At 40.8% G+C, this 27,469-nt stretch overlaps 1 protein-coding gene across 14 annotated transcripts in view; it reads right to left on the minus strand.

The window, feature by feature from the left end:
* Positions 1–27,469, minus strand: part of DOCK4 (dedicator of cytokinesis 4) — a 480,290-nt gene that overhangs the window by 111,896 nt on the left and 340,925 nt on the right. For all 14 annotated transcript variants that reach the window (XM_047421081.1, NM_014705.4, XM_006716189.3 and 11 more), the window contains exons 23-25: positions 25,367–25,559; positions 8,994–9,121; positions 6,758–6,892 (exon numbers count right to left, since the gene is read on the minus strand). In XM_047421081.1, the coding sequence (XP_047277037.1) occupies positions 6,758–6,892; positions 8,994–9,121; positions 25,367–25,559 (456 nt within the window). The remainder of the gene's footprint in view (positions 1–6,757; positions 6,893–8,993; positions 9,122–25,366; positions 25,560–27,469) is intronic.

The raw sequence follows: 27,469 nt of genomic DNA on the forward strand, positions 1-27,469 counted from the left end.
AACCCAGGAGGTGGAGGTTGCAGTGAGCCAAGATTGCACCACTGCATTCCAGCATGGGTGACATTAGCGAAACCCTACCTCAAAAAAAAAAAAAAAAAAAAAAAAAAGATGTCAATTATCCCCAAATCGATATATAGATTCAATGCAATCCCAGTAATTATCCTAGCATAGCTTTGGGGATTAGAAATTGAAAGGCTGATCTAACTTTAAAATCCATAAGGAGTGAAAAGGATCTAAAATAGTCAAAACAACTTTGAAAAAGAAAAGTAAAGTTGGAAGACTTACACTTACTGACTTTAAGATTTATTATAAAACATGACAATCAAGATAGTATGTTACTGGTGTCAAAACAGAAAAACAGGTAAATGGAACACAATAGCCAAACCCAGGAACAACTCAAATGTCTACCAAGAGGTGAATGAATAAACAAACTGCAGTATATCCATACAATGGAATACTATTCAGCAATAAGAAGGAATAAACTATTGATATACAAAAGAATAAGGATGAAACTCAAATATATTGTGTCAAGACAGAATCCCCTGCCCCTATGCCCCCCAAAAAACTATGTAGTATATGATTAATAATAATAGCTATGTACTACATGATTCCATTCATATCAAATTCTAAAAAATGTAAACTTATGTACAGTAATAGATAAGTTACTACAAAAAGCAGGTCAGTAGTTGCTTGGGGATGAGGTAGCATGGAGGGGCAAAAGAGAGGGAACCGAGAGGGGCACAAGGAAGCTTTTGAAAGTGATGAATGTATTTGCTATCCTGATTGTGGTGATGTTTCATAGGAATACACATATGTCAAAACTAAAATTGTACATTTCAAACAGGTGTCATTTATTTTATGTCAATTATACCTCAATAAAATAAAAAAGACATATGACAACACTATGATTTATGGAATGGCACTATGTGTAAATTACCATACTTTGACTATGCTATTGAGTTCATTCCTTGTTTGGGCCTTGTTGGGTAGACACAATCAATTTCACTTTAAAGAAAAGATAATTATCTCTTAAGGTTCAGAAATTTACCCCAGGTTCCACAGCTTGAGAATTGTGAGACTGGGATGTGAACCCAGGTATCCCTGGTTCTAGAAGTCTGTACTCAGTGACTCATCTTCCTTCTGCTCAGACTATTTGATTGTATAGAGAAAATACACCTGAGGTTTTTGGTTATAATTACAATATCAGTAAGTATACTTGAATTCATCAGTTGATAACTAAGGTTCATACTTTTTTACCTTTCTCTTAACTATGCCTTGACTTAAAAATGCAAATCTAGTTAGTAGAAATCCATTCATCTCTTTTCCATCTCTTAGTTTTTCCATATCATATTCACATTGTCTCCATTACAGCTACTAGATTAATTTTCCTAAGACATTTACTTCAACACACAATCCTGTGAATAGTGAAATATGCTGAAGTGGGAAAAATGACATATTATTTGCAAATTTAGTAGTAACAAGAAATATTATGCAATAAGGAATAGACTTTCATCTTAAGCCTTTACAGTCAATATACATAGGGGAACAACCTGTTTGAATCCAGATTTATGATTTTGTCATATCTGACTTATGCCCATTGCAATAACTTATAATCATGACATATAATCCCTTGGGCATTTATGATGATTATTGTCAATCCCAACATCTACTCTACAATGTCATTTATTCACTTATGCTGTTTAGGAACTCCAACCACATTCAACTCTGTTAGGAGGCCTAGATGTCCAATTACTAATGTATATTTTATCCATAATGTAATTTTTTTGCTCTATTTCTTAAACTTAAATTTTAATTAATTTTTTAAATTTTTTATTTCCATAGGTTTTTGGGGAAACAGGTGGTATTTGGTTACATGAGTAAGTCTTTTAGCGGTGACTTCCAATTACTAATGTATATTTTATCCATAATGTAATTTTCTTTGTTTTTAAGATATTTTAAGAATGTATCTGTATGAAAATCCTAGACTCATAATTTATTAAAAAGAAATAAAAAGCCATCAGTGGCCAAGATGTACTTAGCTGCAGTGTGAAACTTTCTTTTGTATAAATCACCTTGAAAACTCTGTAGTCTTCAGTGGCCATTTTATGTATAGATTGAGTATAATGGGAATTTCTACAAATGACTGTGTATAGCAAGGGTATTGGATGGCTACAACTGTCTTCACGAAACCTATTATACACATACATTATTTTTTTCCACATATTTCTTACAGAATTAACCCAGGCCCATTTCCATACCCCACCACAAACCGACATCACATGAAAATTTTAGATAAACACATCAGAGTAGCTGTCTTAGACCTGGCCTATGCCCAGAAGAATCACATGCTCCGTAAATGTTATTTAACAGAGTTACGAACGAGTAAGCATTTATAAATTGTAAGGAACTCTGGAGCTCCATTAGTCGAGAATGCAAGGCAAGTGGTCATTCATACTGCTTTATAAAATCTGCTTCTACCTATAATTAGACTTTTGAAAGGAACTGATCACAATGGTGCTTTTTTGTTTTTTTTTTCTAGCTAGGGAAAGCATTTTAAAGTTCAAAAAACAGTCGGTGGAAAAACAAAAAGTACAATCCTTTTAAATTTTAAAAATAAGGCCTCTGTTATCTGGAACTATGATACAGCAGACGCCAGTGCTCATGCTGGTGTGGCTGGGAGGCTGGGTAACAATCATGGTGCTTACAGAGCACTGGAAGAATTCACAATGGCACATTGTGGGATCTGCGTTTACTCACAGTGTGTCTACTTGTCATGGGCACTTTTCCATATGTGTCTGCACAGACTGAAAAGGTGCTCAATGTAGTACTGCCATGTGAAGACTCCCTATTCAGAAAGCCTGTTCTCTGTGAGAAAATGATAAAGAAATTCAACAGATCTTCAGTCTCCAGAGAATGGATTTTGTGAAAGACAAGACCAGGGCATATTTCTCGCCATAGAATTATTATAACAACAACAATACCTGAAGCACGTCTGCAACAATCATGATATGACTGTGACTTCTGCTGCTACCACAATGACTAACGGTCAGCATTTATTGAGTATCAGACCAGATACTGTTTAAACACCTTTACAGATTTGATGAAATCCTCACACTAACTTTGAGATAAGTACAACTATTTTCTCTGATTTATTTATTTATTTATTTATTTATTTATGAGACAGGGTCTCACTCTGTCACCTAGGCTGGAGTGCAGTGGTATGATCTCGGCTCACTGCAACCTCCATCTCCTGGGTTCAAGCCATTTTTGGGCCTCAGTCTCCTGAGTAGCTGGGGTTACAGGTACCCACCAACAGGCCTGGCTAATTTTTTTGTATTTTTAGTGGGGGTTTCAAGATGTTGGCCAGGCTGGTCTCAAACCTCTGCCTCAAGCAATACGCCCGCCTTGGCCTCCCAAAATGCTGGGATTACAGGCATAAGACACCGCGCCTGGCCTATTTTCTCTGTTTTAAAGAAACAGAGGCTTAGAGACATTAGTAACTTGACCAACATCACAGAGTCAGTGCAATGACAGAGAAGGAATCAAGCTAGGTCTGTCTGAGTACTCTTAAAAAAAAAAGTCTTAAAGCATAAAAGCAAAGATGTCAAATAATTTATGTGTGTGTTTCATGGAAAATTTCACCCCACACACCTGGACAGTCTGGTTTCTCACACAGCAAGGGGTACCACAGAGCTATGCAGGAAGGATTCTCTTCATGTGATTTTCTTATAATTTAGTACACAGGACAATCACTCTGCCTGCCCTACCCCACCTCCACCCACAGACCTGATTCACTGACTTCCTGAAGTCTCGTAATTGGCATTACTTATTACACTGTATGGCCTGAAGACCACATGTATCCCATAGAGATTTGGTGCACAACAACCTTGTACGCTCTGCACGTCGATAGAAAGCAGTTTAAAAAGTGTTTTAGCTTCTGATCTCAGGCAATCTTTAACTATGCCCAGCATTTGCTATGACTTTGTTTGCTTGCCATTATAACTTTCAAACTATGTAAGTTATATTGCCAGGAAGCAATTAAAATGTCACCATCAAAACCACAGTGAAGGAGACATCCTTCCTCTTCCACGTTGAAAGTGTAGCCATACTTCTCCCCTATTCCTCCTGCTAAGTACAACTAAAAACCTGAACATCAAATATAAAACAAACAGAAAAAGACTCTGACAGGAGGGGAGAGAGGGCAGACTGGCCAAGAACCTCCTTGGGACCTGAGCAAGGGCACGGTGTAGATTTCTTTGGATTTTCTTTTTTGCCTCGTATATTTCAAAGATGGGGCTGAAGAGGCCAGCAACTGTGAAAGACCAATAGTTGGTAGACAAAAGAAAAAGTCCCAAAAAACCTTATTTCTCCAGCCAAAGGACTAGGAAAGGGCAGCCCTGCAGGGCAATGCTTTTAGCCGCAGTTGCTCTATTCTAGCTGAACACCACAGAAAACTTTGTCCTCAGTCACCTGTTCACTGCAAAGGCTGAGTGAGGAGCCTAGACTTCCACCCTCATGAGGATGTAGTGAGGTGTCCCAACATCTCTCCTAGAGTGGAGCCAGAGAAGGTCAAACAGGGAGCAGGTACTTTCATACCCACGAGTCAGTGTTGGTGAAAACAATGGGAGGAGCCTGGGCTTCCACCCACAACTGGCAGTAACAAGTCACATTTTTTCCCTCCCCACTGGGGTGGTGTCAAAGAGGCCTAGTAGAGAGTCAGGACGGTCACCATGGCCCAGCAGTAACAAAGCCACTCCCACCACACTGGCAGTAGAGACCACATGCAGAGCCAGAACTTCCACCTCACCCAGCAGTAACAAGAAGCCCTCTTGCCTCAGCTGTCAAAGGAAACCAAGTGGCGAACCTGGATTTCTATCACTGTCTCACCATAACATGTAGGCACTGTTCCCCTGATGAGTGGTATCACACAAAGCCAGCTAAAACAGAAGGTTTATGTAAGATCCAGAGCTTTATAATATAGAAATGTCTTGGTCATAAGAGAAAATAACACATCCTATCAAGAACTAAGAAAACCTCAAATTGAATGAAAAAGACAATCAATAGATGTCCACACTGCAACGTCAGATTGTTAGAATTATCTGACACATACAAAATGGTTAAGGGACTTACATGTAAAATATAAAACTATACTACTTTTAGGAAAGAAACTAGGAGATAACATTTAAGATACAGGGCTAGGCAAAAAGAGTCAAAAGCTTGAACTATAAAAGGAAATTAATAAACTGGACTTAAATGAAATTAAAAATTTTTGCTCTGCAAAGCTTGTTAAGAGGATGAAAAAACAAGCTACAGAGTAGGAGAAGATACCTGCAAACCACATATTATAAAAAGAAATAAAAACTCAACAGTGAAAAAACAATCCAGTGTAAAAAATGGCAAAAAGACATGAAAAGACATTTCACTGAAGAGGATATATAGATGGCAAATAAGTATGTGAAAAGTTGCTCAGCATCATTAGTCATTAGGGACATGCAAATTAAAACTACAATAAGATATCACTACATAGCTATCAGAATGCTCTCCACTCCAAAAAAACGGGTAACACCAAATGATGATGAGAGTATTGAGAAAGTGGACGATTCATAACTTGTATATATAGTAGAGCTACTATTTTCCATAGTGGCTATACCATTTTATATTCCTGTATATATATAAATAGATACACATATATAAACTGCCAGATGTATTATTTCTTAATATTATTTTCTTAATGTTTTACATGAATATAAAATACAGATATAATATTAGACTCAAAATGCTTCAGTCACGTTGCAGGTGGCTTGATGTTATAATCTGGAAAATCTGGCCTTAGGAGAGTAACCCATCAGCATTTCAAAATCATATGAGGTTACCTTAATTTTACAAGGAAACCAAGATATAAAACATGTTTGTTAAAGGAACTTGGAATAAGCAGTTTTTAATTGCAGAAAGCCAGCTTCAAAGCACTTTAAAATTTGCCAATTCCAGGCTAGGCATGGTGGTTCACACCTGTAATCCCAATACTTTGGGAGGCCAAGGCAAGTGGATCATCTGAGGTCAGGAGCTCGAGATCAGCCTGACCAACATGGTGAAACTCTGTCTGTATTAAAAATACAAAAATTAGCCGGGTGTGGTGGCGGGCATCTGTAATCCCAGCTACTCAAGAGGCTGAGGCACGGAGAATTACTTGAACCCGGGAGATGGAGGTTGTAGTAAGCCAAGATCACACACTCGCACTCCAACCTGGGAGACAGAGCGAGACTCCGTCTCAAAAAAAGAAAAAAAACTTTGCCAATTCCAACCTTCTCATTTCCTAGCTAAGAAAACTGAGGCCTAGAAAAGTTACGATTCTGACTAGTCAGAGTGAAAAATTTGGAATGAAAACTCAGGGCCCTGACTCCTATTACTCTGTTTCACTCTTCTCGTTTCCTCAAGCAATTTGATGGATGATAAGAGAATAAAAAGTCATCAAGTTGACTTGGAATATAAAATCTTGGGTTAATTTAAACCGGGCATGGTATGACTAATATCAAAGCTGGCTTTCTGCAATTAAAAACTGCTTATTCCAAGTTCCTTTAACAAACATGTTTTATATCTTGGTTTCCTTGTAAAATTAAGGTAACCTCATATGATTTTGAAATGCTGATGGGTTACTCTCCTAAGGCCACATTTTCCAGATTATAACATCAAGCCACCTGCAACGTGACTGAAGCATAACCAGGCCCTGTTCCACGTGCCATCTGCTCTATGATCTTACAGTGACATCCTGGAACTGGAACCGCATTGCTGAGCTGGATGGCTGAGGTCGGCTGGTGATCTCCAATATGGTCCTCAGCAGAATATCCAGCAAGCTGGCCACTATCACATCTATTTCCTCCAGCACAGATTTTTCCTTAAGAGAAAAAAAATAATATGTTCAGGAAACTGGGGTTTAACATGCATTTCAATCTAACAGAAAAGGGGAAATCAAAGAGTCAGAGAACTTGAGGCATGGATTTCACCTAAGTGAATGATCTCCTTTTACAGTAAACAAAGGCACAGAGAAGTTAATGGCTTACCCAAGAGTACACAACTCAGTGGTGCAATGGATACCTGAGATACAAGTAAAAAGGTGGGTGATATCATGAAGGCACACCAGACTAACTCAGAACACCAGCGAGGCTCCCAACAGGGTGTGTGACCTCAGGCAAGTCAGTCTGCCTCTCTGAGCCTGAATCTTCACTGAGAGTCCATCCTTGTTCTTGGTCTATGATTCCTTGGTTCCAGACTGTGCTTATATTTACTTTTCTCAATATTAGAGTTACATCAGTCATTTTCCGAAACTTTAAGTACAAATGACTATTCCTATAAAAAATGATTTTTAAAAATCTTTGCATGTAAATATTAGGAAATGGTGTTTGGCCCAGACAAATACCCTTAGCTACAGAGTGGATCTAAGGTCAGTGGCCATGTGGAAACTGCTTTCCTGATGCAAAGTTAATAGTATCCACGCCCCAGGACTTGCAAGAGAAACCCAAATTGCTCTGCACTGACTGTATGTGGAGTTGGGTTCTTATTACACCTGCACAAAACAAAACTCTATGTACAAATGCTTCTAACCAAGGAGATCACTCTTTGTAAAAAATACTTTTAGAAAGTACGAGTTTGAAAGAGCTTTTTGGCTAGGATTTTATGATAAATTTTCTTACACTTGCAAGAAAACTACCAAGATTTTCCCTCCAGTGACTTGGTTTCTGCTCTGAATGTCTTACAGAGCAGAAGTTGTGGAGGTGATTTCTTTTTATTTCTCTTCTGCTGTTTTTGGTTCTGTGCAGTGAACTATCTAACTTACATTTTACTCTCAGCAATTATAATTTGGAAAACGATTCTAACTAGGCATAGCATAGTTATTCTTTATATAATTTTATAGAGGCGGGTTTAAAACTGAATTCATGCCTTCTGTCACCACTGTTCTATTCAGTTCCAGATCACCTTTGGGGCCTGGATCATGGGGGTGGGAAAAAGTCAACTGCTTTGTTCCATGCAGGTTCCTCTTATTACACTTCCAGAGGCAGAATTTCTAGCTTTTTTCTCTCAACTGCCAACTCTGTTCCCACGCTACTGGGGCTCTATCTCCAACAACTCCACTGAGGTCCCATCCCACCTCACTGATCTTCAGAAGCTGATCGTAAGTGACAAATTGGGGAAACTGTAGCATAAAGGTAATAGGGAAGCAGAGGAACAGGATTCTTGGCACTCATTGCCAAACTCCGCTCCATAAAACCTGTTACCGATGAGCAAAATGGTTAACAGTTGCATATTGGCAGAAGTGGAACAGGATATTCTCCATATGTGGATTTCACACCAGACCCCTGAGCCATGAACACAAATACTCTGAGTTGTCCCATTTATAAGCAAGCATGTGATTCTTCTCATTTTGCAGTGCATTCTCTAATGCAATTGCATTGCATCAAGAGTCAGGCACGTTGATAGGAATCCCCAAATCCATAACAATTTGGAGATCACTGGTGGGGCCAAGTAATGGTTATACTGTAAGATACCCCTAATCTCCTGGGGCTGTCCTTTGCTTCTGCAATTTCCAGGGGACCCGGCCCAAGGACCACAGCCAAGTTCTGAGTATCATGAAGTAGCCTTTCACAGAATGGATCAAAAACGACTTCATGTTGCAAGCAGTAATTTATTCTTGCCACAGAGCAGTCATCATATCAAGATTAAAGACACACGTGGGAGGCTTTGAGATTTCTCATTTTTCTCACTCAGTATGCAGTTCTTCCTTGAAATACAAGTTTGGGGAACCCAGGTTATTTGGGGTTACAGAATCCCACAAGGTTAAAAAAATTCCTTCCAAAGAGAAGCAAAAAGTCCAGCCCAGCTGGAAATAAAAGTGGGTCTCAGAGGCTTCCTCTTTAGTGCGGTTTCTTTGTAGACTATTACAAGTTTATTTCCAGAAGCCATTTGAAGGGAGCTATATACTATGACCTGTATTTACTTACTGAGCTATTTTTCTTGATAAGACAAAATACGTTGCTAAGGATACGTGCACACATGATCAGGTCCTTCTGTTCTTGCAAGTGAATGTGGAGGTGATGTAACACGACAGGCAGAAGAATGTATCGGGAATCTGAAGAGAGAAGAGTCATTAGTGTCACATCTGTTGGAGTCCCACGCAATACCTAGGGCAAATCCTTATCTACTTTTAATTCAATTTTGGTTGCTAAATTATTAACACATGTAGTTACAAAGGTATTAGTTCTACAAGGTTTATATTGAAAAACAGCAGTTCCTTTCCCTAATGCACAATTCCTACCTCAGGAGGCCTTTGACACTTTTAGGTGAAATAGATATCTTTCTAAAATTATTTGTTTTACCTCTAAATTTCTAAATTACATGCTTCTCTTGCTGTTTCCTGAATTTTCGTTAAGATAGATCGCCTACTGACTTTCTACTACGGTAGAAGAGGACTTGGTTGTTTTTTTTTTTCCCCCTTGATATAGTTTGGCTGTGTCCCCACCCAAATTTCATCTTGAATTGTTCCCATCATTCCCATAACTCCCTGTGGGAGGGACTTGGTGGGAGATAATTGAATCATGGGGGTAGTTCCCCCTATACTGTCCTTGTGGTAGTGAATATGTCTCACAAGATCTGATGGTTTTTTAAGGGGTTTCCCTTTTCACTTGGCTTCATTCTCTCTTCTCTGCCACCATGTAAGATGTGCCTTTCACCTTCCGCCATGATTGTGAGGCCTTCTCATCCACATGGAACTGTGAGTCCATTAAACCACTTTTTCTTTATAACTTACCCAGTCTTCAGTATGTCTTTATCAGCAGCACGAAAATGGACTAATACACTCCCTTTTCTCCCCAAGCCTCTCAAAATGGTTATATCACAATTTCTGGCTAAGTTAACATTATGTTTTTGCTGCTGTTCTGATTTCCAAACCTTTGTACATGAATGGATTTTTGCTTGGTTTTTTCTCTCTTTGAAAGCTTTTGGGAAATTATCCCTGGTAATTCAAAATTTCATGATTATGTAACTCGCCTTGACCCTTTCAATCTATACACTTGTGTTCTTCAGATCTGGGAATTTGCCTTGAATTATTTCTAGGATTATTTTCTTCTATCCTTTGTCTGTAAATTCAACTACATTTACATTGAATCTCTTGAGCTATCTTCTGCTTTTCTAGGATGTTTCCCCTCTTTTTGTTCAACTTCCTGGTAATTCCCATACCTTATCTTCCAAATCATGTATTCAGTTTTATTATTTATGCTATCAGATATTTTATTTCCAAGAGCTTTCTCCCTCCCAGGGCCAGTGTTGTGGCTGTGTAACCTGAGAAGCCACACAGGTCCCTGTGCTCAGAAGGACCCCACGCTTGGTGAAAGCGATGCTACTGCCACCTTGAAATTCTTAACTTTTGAACAACAGGTCTTGTATTTTCATTATGCAGCCATTCCTGTTTATTTCTCTGAATGTTCTCTTTTCAGAGCTTCCCACTCTTGTTTCACAGATGCATTCTCTTCTCTCCCTGAGGAAATCAGATATTTTTTAAAATTTGTTTTGAGGCAGGAAAATAGGGTCTGGAAGCAGGAAATCTAAGGCCAATTTGTGCTGACTTCCTAAAGCTGAATCGATGAAAAACACCATGGTCTGGGGCGGGGACTCTAAGGCCAATTCATGCTGACTTCCCAAAGCTGGATAAAAAGGGAAAACACCTGAGTCTGGGGGCAGGGAACTTAAGGCCTATTAATGCAAACTTCCAAAAGCTGAACCAAAAGGAAAAACCCCCCTCTCCCAAAGTCTGAGTAACAAGTATCAAAGGCTCCTCTCCCTACAACCCTCCCCTTCCACCACCTCTTAGATGGAAAGGTAAAGTGCTCTGGATTGGCCACAGGCCAACCAGGGACCATTGACCATCCCTTTATCTGCACAGGGCACCAATTCACCTCAGCCTTTAATTAGCCACAGATCAAATCCTTCATCCAGATAAAGGACTTCAAAAGAAGTACTTCAAACCCAGAAGACTTTGTAACCGGGCCCTAGAGCTGCTTGCCTGGGCTGACTCCCATCCTGTGGAGTGCTTTCTCGCTTTAATAAATTCCCATTTTTGCTGCTTGGTTCTTGTGTTTCATTCCTTTGTTACTTTGTGAGTTTTGCCGAATTCTTTGTTCAGAATGCCAAGGACCTGAACATCTCACACTCAAGACCCTTATTCTGGTAACAGTTTTGCTCCCTGAACTATCTTTTTCTTCCTAGTTACTTTTTTTTTTTTTTTTTTGAGACGGAGTCTTGCTCTGTTGCCCAGGCTGGAGTGCAGTGGTGCAATCTTGGCTCACTGCAACCTCTGCCTCCCGGGTTCAAGTGTTTCTCCTGCCTCAACCTCCCCAGTAGCTGGGACTACATGCACGTGCCATCACGCCCAGCTAGTTTTTGTATTTTTAGTAGAGACAGGGTTTTACCATGTTGGCCAGGCTGGTCTTGAACTCCTGACCTCAGGTGATCCACCCTCCTCGGCCTCCCAAAGTGCTGGGATTACTTTTTTCTTTATTTATTTTGGCTTCTGCTTTTCACATGAGGGGCTTTTCTCCAATATCTGATGATCCTTCATTGTCCATTCATCTTCACAAGTAAGGCACCAAAATGCTAACTGGAAATCACAAAATCTCTGTATGCCTAGGCAAGCTTGTGAACTAATGAAGCATCACTGCAGGATGGGGAAGCTAGGTGTTCCACTGGAGCAGGGGTCCCCAGAGTTCAGTATCTGAGATGGTTTCTCTTGGGCTGATCAGTTTCTCTGAAGATGAAGGGTGCAACACATATGAAAATGAATCAATTTCATCTTCAGAGCTACCTGATATTTTCGATTCCTGATCCTTTCTGAAGCCTACCTGAGTCTTCTGAGGTTCTGTGGAATAAATTAGTTTGCTCCTTGGCCCTACCCTAACTCCACACACACCGTGCCCACATTTCAGCTTTCTCTTGTCTGCAAGTCAACTGCCACCCAGCCTTGTAAAAATTGCTGCTATTTCTTATGCATTGTATCTCTTCTTCCATTCTCTTAAACCTGTGAGCTTATACGTTAAAAAAATTTCTTTTTGTATCTGTAAGTACAGATACAAAAACCCTTTTCAAAACTTTAGCAAGTCAATTCCAACAATATATTAATATAAAGTTGATAACACCCTTGATATCTGATTGGGTTCCTCATCCTCCACCATCCCCAGGTGATGTCTGATCACCTTGCCCTGTCCTCAGCGAGAATCCTGTTAGGTCACTTTAACCAGAATCTGCACACTCCCTGCCCCCACCTCCCACCCTTATCTTTGATGTTTCCTGTCTACCCACCCGACTCTGTTCCTTGGCTATGAAGTCCCACTTACCCATGCTACATTAGAAATTCAGCCCAATCTTTCTCCCTTATTGCAAAATCCTTTTGCAGCCACCCCCACACCTATCACCATGACCCTCACCTTGAAAAAAGCCTGACGTACTGTCCTCAGAGCCCAAGCTAACCCATCATACCCCCTGTGACCTGCACATATATAAACAGATGGCCTGAAGCAACTGAAGAACCACAAAATAAGTGAAATTAGTCAGTTCCTGCCTTAACTGATGACATTCCACCACTGTGATTTGTTCCTGCCCCACCCTAACTGATCAATTGACCTTGTGACATTCCTTCTCCTGGACAATGAGTCTCAGAAGCTTCCCACCCAGCACCTTGTGACCCCCACCCCTGCCCTCAAGAGAACAACCCCCTTTAACTGTAATTTTCCATTATCTACCCAAATCCCATAAAACTGCCCCACCCATCTCCCTTTGCTGACTCCTTTTTCGGACTCAGTCCACCTACACCGAAGTGATTAAAAAGCTTTATTGCTCACACAAAGCCTGTTTGGTGGTCTCTTCACACGGACGCGTGTAACACTTACCATCCTCAGCAAATGTCATTAATTATTTTTTACTTTAACAGATGCCGAGGTAATTCAATGGAGAAACAATAGTTTTCTTCAACAAATGATGCTAGAACAATTGGATACACATATGTTAAAAACAAAAACAAAAACCCTCTATCCTTACCTTACACCAAATGCAAAATTTAACTTGGTATAGATCATAGACCTAAAATGCAAAGGCTAAAGGTATAAAAGTTCTGAAAAAGCCGGGTGCGGTGGCTCACACCTGTAATCCCAGCACTTTGGGAGGCTGAGACGGGTGGATCACGAGGTCAGGAGATTGAGCCCATGCTGGCTAACACAATGAAACCCCGTCTCTACTAAAAATACAAAAAATTAGCTGGGCGTGGCGGCACGCGCCTGTAAGTCCCAGCTACTAGGGAGGCTGAGGCAGGAGAATCGCTTGAACCTGGGAGGCAGAGGTTGCAGTGAGCCAAGATTGCACCACTGCACTCCAGCCTGGGAGACAGAGCAAGACTCCATCTCAAAAAAAAAAAAAAAAAAAAAATTTCTGAAAGAAAACATAGAAGAAAATCCTAGTGACTCTGAGTTAGATACAGATTTCTTAAACAGGTACAAAACCTCAAACTATCAAAGGTAAGTGATAAATTACATTTGATCAAAATTAAAAATTCTACTTGACTTGCACCACTGACCCTGTTTAAGATCCCTATTTGTTGCCTTCTTTCTACTTGAGGACCCAAGAATTAGACTGCTTAGATTAGAGTTCCAGTTCCGTGAAATACTAGCCTCAGTCTTTTCATCTGTAAAACGAGGCTAGCAATGGTAACTCCTCCTGGGATTGTTTTACGGATCATATTAGCTAGCAGTGCTTGGAATGCAATGAGTGCTATGTAAGTGTTATTCTCCTTTCTTCCTCTTTCAATTTTATCCTATATCTATAGATAAAAGTGATTCTGTATGCTACTAAAAGTGATAAGGAGTGCAAATAAAGCATCCACAACTGTGAAAGTGCCTCTCTCTCTCTCTCTCTCCTTCCTTTTTTTTTTTTTTTTTTTTCTTGAGACAGAGTCTCACTCTGTCATCCAGGCTGGAGTGCAATGGCACGATCTCGGCTCACTGCAACTTCCGCCTCCTGGGTTCAGTGATTCTCCTGTCTCAGCCTCCTGAGTAGCTGGGATTACAGGCATTCGCCGCCATGCCCGGCTAATGTTTTGTATTTTTAGTAGAGACGGGGTTTCACCATATTCCCCAGGCTGGTCTTGAACTCCTCCGCTCAGGCAATTCATCCTTCTTGGCCTTCCAAAGTGCTAGGATTACAGGCGTGAGCCACCATACTCAGCCGGAGTCTCCTATTTCTTTTGATGCCTGCCACTGGGTTACCAAAATAACCAGGTCTGGCCTCAGGTTTAGCATCAAAACAGACAACATAAGGCACAGGCATTCTATACATTAAGAAAACAAATACAGAATATTCAAATCCAAACTTGTAAAATAATTCATTGCAAGCCTTCTTTAAACAGTAAGCCTCACCAGGGAACTTAAATACTTATTTACAAATCAATTACTTAACAAAAAGAACCAGAAAAAAAAAAAAAAACCCTGAAAATTTAAGTGCCAGTAGTCATTGCCTAGTAATGTTTAATTAGAAAGGAAGATAAAGCTTATCTGATATGTTCCTTCAGCTAGGGGGATTTGATTTCTAAAAATTCAATTTGCAGCCAATTGTTAAGAAAATATCAACTGCAAAAAAGTAAGTAAGGTGGACAAATAATTTGTGTGTGGCATGTATACAAAGAAATACATAACAACCCAGCTTGCAGATTTGCTTTTTCTCCATTACTTGGGCAATGCCAGCCAGTGCAATTGATAGACTGGGTGGGTAAATGCCAAACAAGCTGACTGGTTGATATGCTAATTCTTACCTTTAAAAGAAAACAACCAGGCCCATCAAATAAGACCCCCCATAAAACAATCCAAGTTGAACATTCACTAACTTTCCATGCATTTAACAACAGAATCTGCCGTGCAGGTTCTCTCCTTGAGAGGGCCGATACACTCATATTCCACATCTCAGATAAAGCTCACTGTGTTGTATGTCTCCTTGAGTGTATAAGGAGTGACTCTCATTTACTTTTTTGGTCTACACTTGAGTGGATATACAGCCAGCTCCCATCAGTAATCCCCACTGGACACGGGACTAGGAAGGAACAAGGGAAGCTGGGTAGATTTCCTCCTTTAGGTTAATTTTGAGGAGTCATACTTTTGCCTCCTCTATCAACAAGCTTTAGACAGGGATCCTTGAAGTCAGCATCAGTCACCAAGAGCGCGAGGTCTGTGAGTTCCATGGCAGCACACAAGGGTTGGCCGTTACATTCCACAAACTGGGCTCTAGCATGGGCTGGACGTGGGCACTGCTGAGGGGCGGCCTCAGTACGGGGAGATTGTAAACAAGGGAGGCAGAAGGACATGTGGCAGCACAGCTTTGCATGTAGCAGAGCTGCTGACTACAGAAAGCCTGACATCAGAGCTGGGATGGGCCTCTGTGATCAAAGCCACCAGGAATTGAACTGCCAAAGTCAGAGCCAGTCGCAAAACCTGCAAACAAGCCTTTCAGACACTGGAATACAGACAACAAGAACTCAGAGAGGAAAGGACTGCAGATTCAGTGGGCTACGTTCTCATGCAGACAATGTCAGGATCACAGAGGAAAGCAACAGTGGAGGGCTACGGATGATCCCTGTATTAAGCTCCCAGATCCCACCCACTGGCTTTAATCCCACCCTGAATGCCTCCACCTCAGGCATCCTTCCTAAAGCAAGACACATGTACTGTGTACATCTTACTTTTGGTAGTTACGCCACCTCCTGGCCTGGGACTCCTACATAGCCACCCTGCCACACACTGTTTTATTGTCATATTCATGCTCATCCTGAGCTCAAAAAGTTGCTTTTCCAATAAGATTTTTTTAAATACACATCATTTATTCAGTAGCTTTTTGTTGTTGTTGTTGTTTGGTTTTTTTTTTGCTTTAGATGGAGTCTTGCTCTGTTGCCCAGGCTGGAGTGCAGTGGCATGATCTCGGCTCACTGCAACCTCCTCACAGGTGCAAGTGATTCTCCTGCCTCAGCCTCGGGACTAGCTGGGGCTTCAGGTGCAGTCCACTGCACCTGGCTAATTTTTATATTTTTAGTAAGGGAGGAGACCACCCCTCATATTGTCTTATGCCCAATTTCTGCCTCCAAAGAAAGAAGAAATGAAAATTAAAAGGCAGAAATGAAATTCACAGGCAGACAGCCTGGTGCCACACCCTGGGCCTGGTAGTTAAAGATCAACCCCTGACCTAATCGGTTATGTTATCTATAGATTACAGACATTGTATGGAAAAGCACTGTGAAAATCCCTGTCCTGTTCTGTTCCATTCTAATTACCAGTGCATGCAGCCCCCTGCCTGCTCAATCGATCACGACCCTCTCACACGGACCCCCTTAGAGTTGTAACCCTCAAGAGGGACAGGAATTGCTCACTCGGGGAGCTCAGTTTTTGAGACGTGGGTCTTGCCGATGCTCCCAGCCGAATAAAGCCCTTCCTTCTTTAACTCGGTGTCTGAGGAGTTCTGTCTGTGGCTCATCTTGCTACATTAGTAGAGACAGGGTTCCACCATGTTGGCCAGGCTAGTCTCAAACTCCTGACCTCAGGTGATCCACCTGCCTTGGCCTCCCAAAGTGCTGGGATTACAGGCGTGAGCGACCGCACCCAGCTATTCAGTAGCTTTTGCTACTGTATCCCGATCCCTAACCCATGATTCAGTCAGTACCTAGTGTTCATGAAACATCTATTAAGCACCTACTTTGCACCAGGCACTATTAGGGAAGCTAAAGATATCATTGTGATCAAGGCAAATAAAGTCCCTGGCCTCTGGGGTTTCCCTTCTGGGGTGGAGGAGGGAAACAGACGTTAATCAATGAAATACCCAATTCTCTATTTCATTATAATTGTGCTAGGTGATTCAAGAAGCAAAACACAGTGTACTATAAAAGTGATAATTGAGTGGGTGGGGCACCAAAATTTCTTGAGAAAATGAGAGACTAAACCATGAAGGATAAATGGGAATTAACTCTGTTGGGCAGGAGCTGAAGAAAGTGGATTCCAAACAGAGAAAAGTAGCAAGGAGATGAGATGAGGCAGGTGGACGGGGCCACATCACAGGGCATGGAAGATCAATTCTGGAGAGTGCCCCCCAATAAAACAGAACTGGGATGTGAGTAGGAGCTGGGAGTGACATCATCTGGTATGTTTCTGAAGGTAACTTTGGCTAATAGATGGGTGGTGAAAGGAAATACAGGAAACAAGGAGAGAAAAGACAGAGGCAGCTCAGAGCAAGTGCAGCTGGACTAGAGAGGAGGCAGTGGGGGTGTGGAGAAGCTACAGAGGCACGTGAGGTTTCTTGGCCACAGACAGAGACAAAGGGCAAAAGGGAGAAGGAATGACTCTGAGGCTTCTAGGTGGATGGTGCTGCCACCTACTGAGCCAGGAAAGACTAAGCTCAGAGAGAAAAAAGTTGAGATTTTCATTTTAGACATGCTGAGTTTAAGGAGCCTGTGAGATATCCACCAGAGATGTTAAGAGCACAGTTGGATACTCAAGTTTGGAGCTCCGAGGAGAGATCTGGCCTAGAAATATAAATGTGAGAGTTAGGTCAGCACATGGATGGCACTAACTGAGGCTAAGCAGGTGGAATGAGCCCCAAGATTTGCTCAGATTTCCCTGCTACATGGCACCCTGGAAACTTGCCCCATCACATACGCTGCTGTACTTTATCATATTATAATTATTTGTTCGACATCTACTTTTGTGCTTTACTGTAAACAGACAGAGAGCAGGGACTCTATTGGTTCAATTTGTTATAGTATTTCCATCCTAATATATTTCTAATATAATACTGTGGAGTCTGTCCATAATAAATATTTGTTGAATGAATGGACTCCATCATGAGTTCTACTGGATATTACAGGCTACTCAAATAGAGCCTGGCATTTCTGTCTTCAGGTTTAAACACAGCTTAAACAGGAAGAGTGAGGAGGCCCGTTATCAGTCTGGTTTACAATGACTCCATCTGCTGGTGCTTGCTCTGAGCACGGGGAGACAGCAATTCCCACTACCTTGCAAGCCACGGCAGCTGCCTGTGACACACATGCTCCCCATCCCTCTGAAAATCTGTGCAAATGTGGATGAGTGACGTGTAAGAAATGAAATGATACAGGTGTCACCCTTTCCCCAGTAATGTGCTTGTTATACTGTCAATCCGCATTGAGAAGTTCAGAAACATAGTAAGAGAACTAAGTTGAAAGGGAGTCTTGTGACTCCCAAAATATGTGAGTTTACATTTGTTTTCAAAACCCACAGTTAAAACCTAGGGGCAACTATGATTTCAGTGAGGTATATTTTTCATCTTAAGTTCTATGTGCAGGGTGAGGTGTTACCTAAAACTATTAATTTTATCTTTGCCCTGTCTAGAGACAGATGTAGAAACTGTTTTTCAAAGATACATCTTTCTAGGTTCTTGGTTAAGAACATCCACTTAAACATGGTTATAGCTGTTTAGCCTTTAACAACAACAACAAAAACAGAAAACCCAAAATCATTATGTGGGCAAATCTTTCATAAAATCCAAGAAAAGAGCCTGAAAAACTGTGGAAACTGTTAAACTTTCAGCAAGTGCTTTCAGAGCTCCCTGATGGTGAACACCTGGAAAGGGCTTCACCCTAGAGTTTTTTCCCTTTGGAAAAGCCTGGGGAGAGGGAACCAGAGGGGAATACGGGTAAGCGGGAAGAGGAGGGGTGAGATAAAGGGATTGAGACTGAAGGAACAAAACACTAATGATTTTTAGCCAAAGGCTTTCTTGAGGTCCCAGGTAGTTTTTGAAAATATACTTTTACATTAGATCATCATCACAAATTCCATATTTAAAAAAACTAAGGTCTGTACATTTTTTGCAATGGTCCTGCATTATTACTCTGCTTCTAGAGAAAAAAGAAGCCCTTATTTCTGCAACTTTATTCTTTCTAAGGACTCTCTATTTTGCAAGCCCTGGCTAGCAGAAAAGTTCTAAACAAATGTCATTTTTAAGAATAAAAGAAATGTAATCACTTGCAATGCAATAAAACCCAACACTAAACTACACTTTATAGTTCTAAGAAATAAAAGCTACTAGGCACTCATCAACTGTAGTAAGATTTTATTCCTGAAGTTATCAAATTAATAGAAAAACCTATCAAACATCCTTTCTTTATATTATGGCCTAAAATGTTGGAGAGCATTAATTCTTAGAGTATACTTTAAAAATAGTCTAATAGTCTACCTTTCTCTATCTTTCCATTAATTTTTTATTGCAGTTTTGTATAAAATCCACAAAATCCTTAATGGGGACTGGGGAGTTTCTGCCAAAAAGAAAAACAATTACTCTTGACTACTTAAAAAAATTCCTACCCTAAAACACTTGATTTTTTAGTCTGTAGGCAAAAGCAAGTCGTACCAGCAAGCTTCTCACCAGTGGTACATGATCAGTGCCTTTAGGTCTTTATATTTACTTCTATTATCTGTGCTGGGATTTGCCTGATAAACTGTTCAATTCTTCCAAAGTAGAAACATATATAGCTATTTTTTAGCAAGAAAATAGCTCAGCATTAACTCCAGCCATCTGTTAAACAAATCATCAAGTACCAAGCAATGGTGACAAACGCAAAGTGAATGTAAAACCCACAGCTCTAGCAGATCTGACCTCGCGAAGTCCGGCAGACCCTGTTCCTGACCTCTCGCTATCACGCCCTAAACTATGTCTCTGCTACCCGCTACACTTCCTCCTTCCCCAACAACCTCTCTGCATCAAATCTACCCTTTTGTCATTGCCAAAGCTGTCTTCTCCAAAACCATTTAGACTCTTCTATTCATGGCCTTCAGCAAATAGGAAGAATAAAATCTGGGGGAGAAAGGGAAAAATGAGTTGCTGATTTTTAATGCTTTAAATAAGTCCACCTGGATCCCAGATTATTTAGACATTAAATACCAATCTATTTAGATTCCAAAAGTTATCTGTGTCCTTTAGGTTTGGTCAGATGTTCTAGAATTTGACCTTGGGGGTGTGACTAAGGGGGTGATTCAGTCCTCCTGCCTGCTCTGTCCAGCTGTGAGGCTGCCCAGAGACCCTTAATGCAACCTGGCTTGAATCTTCCCATGACAACATTTCAGACAACATTTCATTCCCTTCTTTGGTGCTGACATTCACATATGTCCTTCTTTCTGTCTTCTCTATGTGTTAATTTCTACTCTAAGCTCAACCATGACTATTCTGCAGCCATGCTTCTTCCTTTGCATGCCTCCTCTGCTTTTTTCTCCTTGGGATTTGTGATGGTTAATTTTAATGTGTCAACTTGTCTGGGCCATGGGGTGTCCAGAGAGTTGGTTAAACATTTTTCTGGGTGTGTCTGTGAGGAAGTTTCTGCAGGAGAATAACCCTGGAATTGCTAGACAGAGTTAAGTAAACTGTCCTCCCCAATGTGGTGAGCCTCATCCACTCTGTTGAAGGCCTGAATAGAAGAAAACGCTGAGTAATGGAGAATATGCTCCCTCTTCCTGATGGTCTTCGAGCTAGGACAATGGTCTTCTCTTGCATTTGGACTTGGACTTGAACTGTAACTTATACCATTGTCTCTCCTGCTTCTCAGGCCTTTGGTCTCAGACTGAAACTATATCATCAGTTCTTATGGGTCTCCAGCGTACTGACTGCAGATATGAGATTTCTCAGCCTCTATAATCACGTAAACCATTTCCTTATGACTCCTTTCCTTCCGTCTTTCCTCCTTCCTTCCCTTCCTTTCCTTCCTTCCCTCCCTTCCTTCCTTCCCTCCCTTCCTTCCTTCCTCCATGTATAGACACATACACCCTATTGGTTCTGTTTCTCTGGAGAAATCTGACTAATACAGGATTCTAATAAAATGTCAACTTTTAGAACTTCCCAGATGTCTTGATGGGCTTGTAACATCTAAGGTCTGAAAAGGTTTTGAAATTCATCTTCTTAAAATGTGAGCCAACTGTACTCTTTGCTCCCCCCTTTTTTTGAGACAGGGTCTCCATCTGTCAGACAGGTGGGAGTGCAGTGGTGCGATCATGGCTTACTGTATTCTCAACCCCCTGGGCTCAAGTGATCCTCCCACCTCAGCCTGCTGAGTAGCGGGGACCACAGGTATGCACCACCACACCTGACTATTTTTTGTTTATTTTTTGTAGAGATGCTGGTAATACCTTAATTTCAGCCCATTGAGAACAATTTTGGACTTCCACCCTGTGGACCAGTAGGATAAGAAGTTTGTGTTGTTTTAAGCCACTAAGTTTGCGATTACTGTCACAGCAGCAATGGGAAATGACTCCATCATAACTGTATCTAAAATGAGTCTTATTTCCATATTTTGGTGATGCTATTGTTTTATGTTTATAATAAAAGAATTTTTTTTTACCCATCCCTTGTCATTTGGATACAGTTATCTCTGGGAAAATAAGATATAAAACTAGGGCATTCAATTCCAAGTTCCCCATCCCCTCAAAAAATCCTTTTGCTGTTGTAAAAATTGTGTACGTGTGTGTTAATTTTTTTTTTTTTTTTTTTTTTTGAGGCGGAGTCTCGCTCTGTCGCCCAGGCTGGAGTGCAGTGGCGGGATCTCGGCTCACTGCAAGCTCCGCCTCCCGGGTTCACGCCATTCTCCTGCCTCAGCCTCCCAAGTAGCTGGGACTACAGGCGCCCGCCACTACGCCCGGCTAATTTTTTGTATTTTTAGTAGAGACGGGGTTTCACCGTTTTAGCCGGGATGGTCTCGATCTTCTGACCTCGTGATCCGCCCGCCTCGGCCTCCCAAAGTGCTGGGATTACAGGCGTGAGCCACCGCGCCCGGCCGTGTGTTAATTTTTTAAATGAAAGGTCAGAAGTGTTAGGCTTAACCCTTTTACCTTTTGTTTTGAGTGGACAACTGGGCCCTCTTTTATTATAGATCTTTAGTTATACAGTTTTATATTGTCCCTCTTCTTTCCCCTCCAGTCAGACAGAATCAGCCTATTTTTGTGAGATGTACCAAGGCCCTTGTGAGGATCACACTCTCCAGTTAACCACAACTCAAGATATCACGTCCTGTTCTCTGACACTGTCTGTGGAGCCTGCTGTTTGCATTTCACATCTTCTTTTCCTTCCGACATCTCCTCTTTCAACTAGACAACATAAATATGCCCATCAGTCCCCTAAGTCCACAGTTTCTGATTTAGAATGCCAAAGTCACTAGAAGCACTTTCCACGTTTCCCTAGCAGTATTGTGTAGTCACATGTAATTTAAACAGAAGGTACTCTGAGCCCTGGAAGGCTCTCAGGGACACTTCCTAGTTTTCCCCATGAAGATGGGCTCCTTCTTGATGTGTTCTGCCCAGCCCATCTTATACATCACAGTCTCTGTTTTCTTCAATGACGAGTTAGGAAGCAGCAAGCCACATCCTGCTGCGGCAGTGACAGAAGCCTTTTCTCTGTTGAACATCTGCACGTGCTAAGGATTCTGTTGATCGTGAGCCACTGTTGCTTCTCCATAATCATTCTCCATGTGTGGGACCTTCCCACACAACATGAGCAGACAGGGTTTCCTCTTCTTCTCTTCCTTTTCCACGCCACCATATTCACAATTACCAGCTTCCCTACGCTGGCCCTGAGCCTCTCTTCCAGGGCACTGGCACAGACCCTGCAGGGTCAACATTTCTTGGGTCTCATGAGTCCTTCCATCCCTTACCATAGTACATACTCTCATCAATTCCCACGGGACCCAACATTCTTTATCCCGCATCACAGCAGGTTCTTCTCTGTGTATCTTTCTAGTCCTGATTTCTCTATTATCTATGGAGCATCAGGAACCAACAAGGAACTGGGCCCAAGGACAGATTACATTGCTCAGAGGCAATGAACACAAACCCCTATAATATTTTCCTTACATTTGAAAACAATTTTGATGACTGTCTTGCTCTTTTAGTGCAAGACTTTAACTTAACAAAGAATTATCTGGTCAGTGTGGGAGAAATATGGCAGAAATCAGCAATTCCTCTGAGACAGGAGTGAACTTTTCCTAGTGTGGTGAAAGCAGGGTTGGTGTTTGAGTTAAAGCAGGGTGCTCCGTTGGGACCTACATCTCCTGCACAGTACCTGTTCCCAACCCCGGAGAGATTCCTGAGTCACTGCACAGAACCCTTAGGACTGAGCAGCAGAGTTGGAAAACCACTACAAGAAATATCTTTTCTCCAGGATATGTTTTTATTGGGAGAAATCGGAAGGTTGAACTTTCTTTTACATTGTTTGAAGTGCTATTTCAGAAAAAAAAATAAGAAATATCTCAAAAGTCCTTCAACAGGAGAAAAAATAAATTAACTGTGATATGTTCATACAGTGGAATATCATACAACAGTAAAAAATAATGAAGTAGAGCTATATCTAGTGGCATGGAAAAATATAAAAGTATAATATTAGGCCGGGTGTGGTGGCTCACGCCTGTAATCCTAGCCCTTTGGGAGGCTGAGGTGGGTGGATCACCTGAGGTCAGAAGTTCAAGACCAGCCTGGCCAACATGGTGAAACCCCATCTCTACCAAAATACAAAAATTAGCCAGGCATGATGGTGGGTGCCTATAATCCCAGCTACTCAGGAGGCTGAGACGGGAGAATCATCTGAACCCAGGAGACGGTAGTTGCAGTGAGCTAAGATCATGCCACTGCACTCCAGCCTGGGTGGCTGAGCAAGACTCAGTCTCAAAAAAAAAAAAAAATAATAATAATAATATTAATAAAAAAAACACTCCAAAGAGTGACATACAATGTACTGTTATCATTTAAAGATGAAATGATTTAAAAATTTGTAAAGAAGAAAAAACCATACTATATATTTTTAAAGCTATGTAATAAAGGAATAGAAAATAGGAACCATAATCTCTGATAGTGGAAATTTCTATGAAGGAAATGGGAGCCTAGACAGGAGGACCTTGAGTATATCTGTGATGAATTTCTTATTAAAAAATCTAAAGCAAGGCCGGGTGCGGTGACTCATGCCTGTAATTCCAGCACTTTGGGAGGCCAAGGTGGACGGATTGCAAGGTCAGGAGTTCGACAGCAGCCTGAACAACATGGTGAAACCCTGCCTCTACTAAAAATACAAAAATTAGCTGGGTGTGGTGGTGTGTGCCTATAATCCCAGCTACTCAGGAGGCTAAGGCAGGACAATCGCTTGAACCTGGGAGGCAGAAGTTGCAGTGAGCCAAGATCATGCCTCTGCACTCCAGCCTGGGCAACAGAGCAAGACTCTGTCTCAAAAAAAGCTAAAGCAAATAAGTGGTAATGTTAAGATTTGTTAATGATTTGCCATTATTATGCTCTATCCTTAAATGTATGTATAAAATATTTTACAAGAAAATATGTAAAAAATTGTTTACTATATATAAAACTATTTCAAAAAAATCATACATACACACACATTCATATGGGAAAATCATTCTTTTTTTTTTTTTTTTTTTTTTTTTTGAGACAGAGTCTTGCTCTGTTGCCCAGGCTGGAGTGCAGTGGCGCCATCTCAGCTCACTGCAACCTCTGTCTTCCAGGTTCAAGCAACTCTCCCGCCTCAGCCTCCCGAGTAGATGGGATTACAGGCACCTCTCAACACACTCGGGTAATTTTTTTGTATTTTGGTAGAGATGGGGTTTCACCATGTTGGCCAGGCTGGTCTTGAACTCCTGACCTCAAGTGATCTGGCCGCCTTGGCCTCCCAAAGTGCTGGGATTACAGGTGTGAGCCACCGTGCCTGTCAGGGAAAATAATTATTAATGGAATCTATTTTAAGAACTTTTTTACTTGGGAGGCTGATTAAAATTTCTTAAAATAAGCTTTAAGATAAGGTTAGTACTCACTCTGTTATTTATTCGGGAAAAAAAAACAGAAGAAAACAAGAGGCAATGGAACTTACTAACAGTTATTATAACAAAATTAATTTGAGTCACTGACCACTTGCTCTTGGGGTAAAGTAAAAAACAACAATAATGCAAAGTTTCATATAGCTTCAGAACATAAATTGATGAAAAACTTTTAAAAACAAAAGAGAAAAATAAGGATCCTATCAGGTACCTGTAAGCATCTCTGAAGGAGTGTTAAATCCCATTAAACATAAAAAACAATAATGTAATCATTAGTTTTCATTCTTTCCAGAAATAAAGTTTTAATTGCCATACTTTTGTATTTGACTACTAAATACATTTACCATCCAAATAAACAATGGTTTTGAGAAAATGCCTTTTAGTGTTTTGTTTTTAATTGCATCTGCTGACCAATGGCTACAAAATATACAAAATGGCTTTTCAGAGGCACAATTTCCTCCAAGAGACTCACCCTACCTGGGTTGGTATAAAGCTGGCTTTCCACGGTTTTGCCAATGCACTGCAGTTTGATGGCCTGCAGGGAATCATCCACATGCAGGATGGTCGGCAGACTGCCCAGGGTGTCCTGGACCAAGTTGGCTACTTCCCGGACATCAAAGAGCTTCAACAGTTCTGAGTACACGGCAGGGAAAGAGCTCAGAAACACAGCCTTAAAAAGAAGAAGACATTTAAATCAACTCCCAGATACGCCATGAGAAATATGCTGCAAAACGTCAGTGAGTTTAAGGACCGTGGCAAGTGTTTTTGAATGGTAGGAATAGAAGTATGAAATGTTTCTGTTACCTAAAGCTAAAAGGTAAATTTTTAAAAAGTGCAGCAGAATAGGACAGTTTTTGAAAAGTACGAAGCAGCAGCATAATAAAAACTGGGAAATTTTGGAAAATCACTGACATTAGCAAAAGGATTGACAAAAACCTCACAGAATCAGTGAAGTGCATCAAAACTGAATAGAAAGAATGCTCAACCAAGACCTGGATTGTAGTCAGTTATATTCATTCCTTTTGGAAGAAGCTTTCTGAAATGCTCACTTAAATCTCATTCACATTTAAGAAACCAAACACATTAATTCCTCCAAAGCACTCCATTTCTGATTTAAGAAAAAACACAGGACAGGGCATCAGAAGATCTAAGTTACACATAGTATTAGCTTTGCTTCCAATAACTCTGTGACTTTGGAAAGTTATTTGAGCACCCTTTAGTTTCATCATTTAGGCTTTAGTTTCATCTCCTGTAAAACAAAAAGATCATTACAAGAACCCTCTGGGTTGCTTCAAGATCTATTTTAAACCAAGAACTGTGTGTACAGACTAAGAACAATATTTTTATGTAAAAAAAAAAAAAACCCGATCATCATTTTTTATGGGGAAAAAAGATGCTCACATCAAATCTCAAAGGGCATACTTAAAAAATTGGGCTAGGATTGTACACCAAAACAAACCAAATCAGCCTTTTAAAATTCCATAAAAGGAGGGCAATGGAAGAAGAGTCGACTAGCTTCAACTGTACCTAGTCAGGGAAGGAGGCACGAGTTTCTAACATGCTAAAATTCAAGTGCTAGTTGGCGTACCAATGAGATCTGACTCCATCAGAAAATAGGTCGCGTCTACATGTGCTGATGATTCAAACACAGACTCACTCAAACTCAAATTTAAGAATTTTAGTATTTATTTATACAGCAGCAGCAAAAATATCTAGAAGAGCCAAGATCTGTTTTTGATGCCAGCGCCATCAAAATACTCCAGATGCTATAAGTCAACAGCAATGGCCCTTGGCTCTTAAAAATTATAGATTTACTTGAATATATTTAAAGTTAATAACTTGATATTCTCCGTTACAGCCTGCATTTATATAACCTTCACGTCACCCTGCAGAGCTGAGTCATACTGATGAAGTTAAATAAAATGAGCCCAGCTTTCTGATTACTGAAAAGTCAACTAAGTTGATTTTCCTCAGGTATCCCTTAATTTATCCATTATTTCTTTATTTATATGTCTTGACTTCAAAAAGGCATCTGAATGTGCCTACAGTGTAAGATACACATATAATAGGATGATTAAAAAGGATAAAGAACAAGTATCTTGTGATGAGGGGAGGAAGACGGCTGTGCCAGGGCAAGCTGAGAGTTTTTACTGCAAGTGAAAATAAAAGTACAATTTAGTTTTGACCTTCCTAGTAGCCAGGACACACAGGGAAAGATAACTATTGGGAATTGTCTAGCAGGGTTTGGGGCCTCTATTCCTTCTGACATTCTTCTTCTTTTAGGGATCATGGGTTAGCAGGTGTGTGTCCATGAAATAGAAAGCTAAGAACCACTGCTGTACCAGGTGGGTTAGCCCTTAGTCCTTCCAGGACAGGGCTAACAAGAACAGTCATTAGCAAGTTGCATTTGGGGCAGGAGGACTAAATGAACCTACCCAGTAGGACCAGGATGCATACATCTGTGGGGCAGCTTCCCATCAATCCAACCCAAAGGACTGTGGTGATGGCCTCTAGAAGACAGGGTTTGCCCTGAGTTGTAGCCCACATGGAAAAAATGCAAAATGGAGCAAGAAAACCAGG

This window comes from Homo sapiens, chromosome 7, assembly GCF_000001405.40.
Source record: "Homo sapiens chromosome 7, GRCh38.p14 Primary Assembly".
Taxonomy (NCBI): domain Eukaryota; kingdom Metazoa; phylum Chordata; class Mammalia; order Primates; family Hominidae; genus Homo; species Homo sapiens.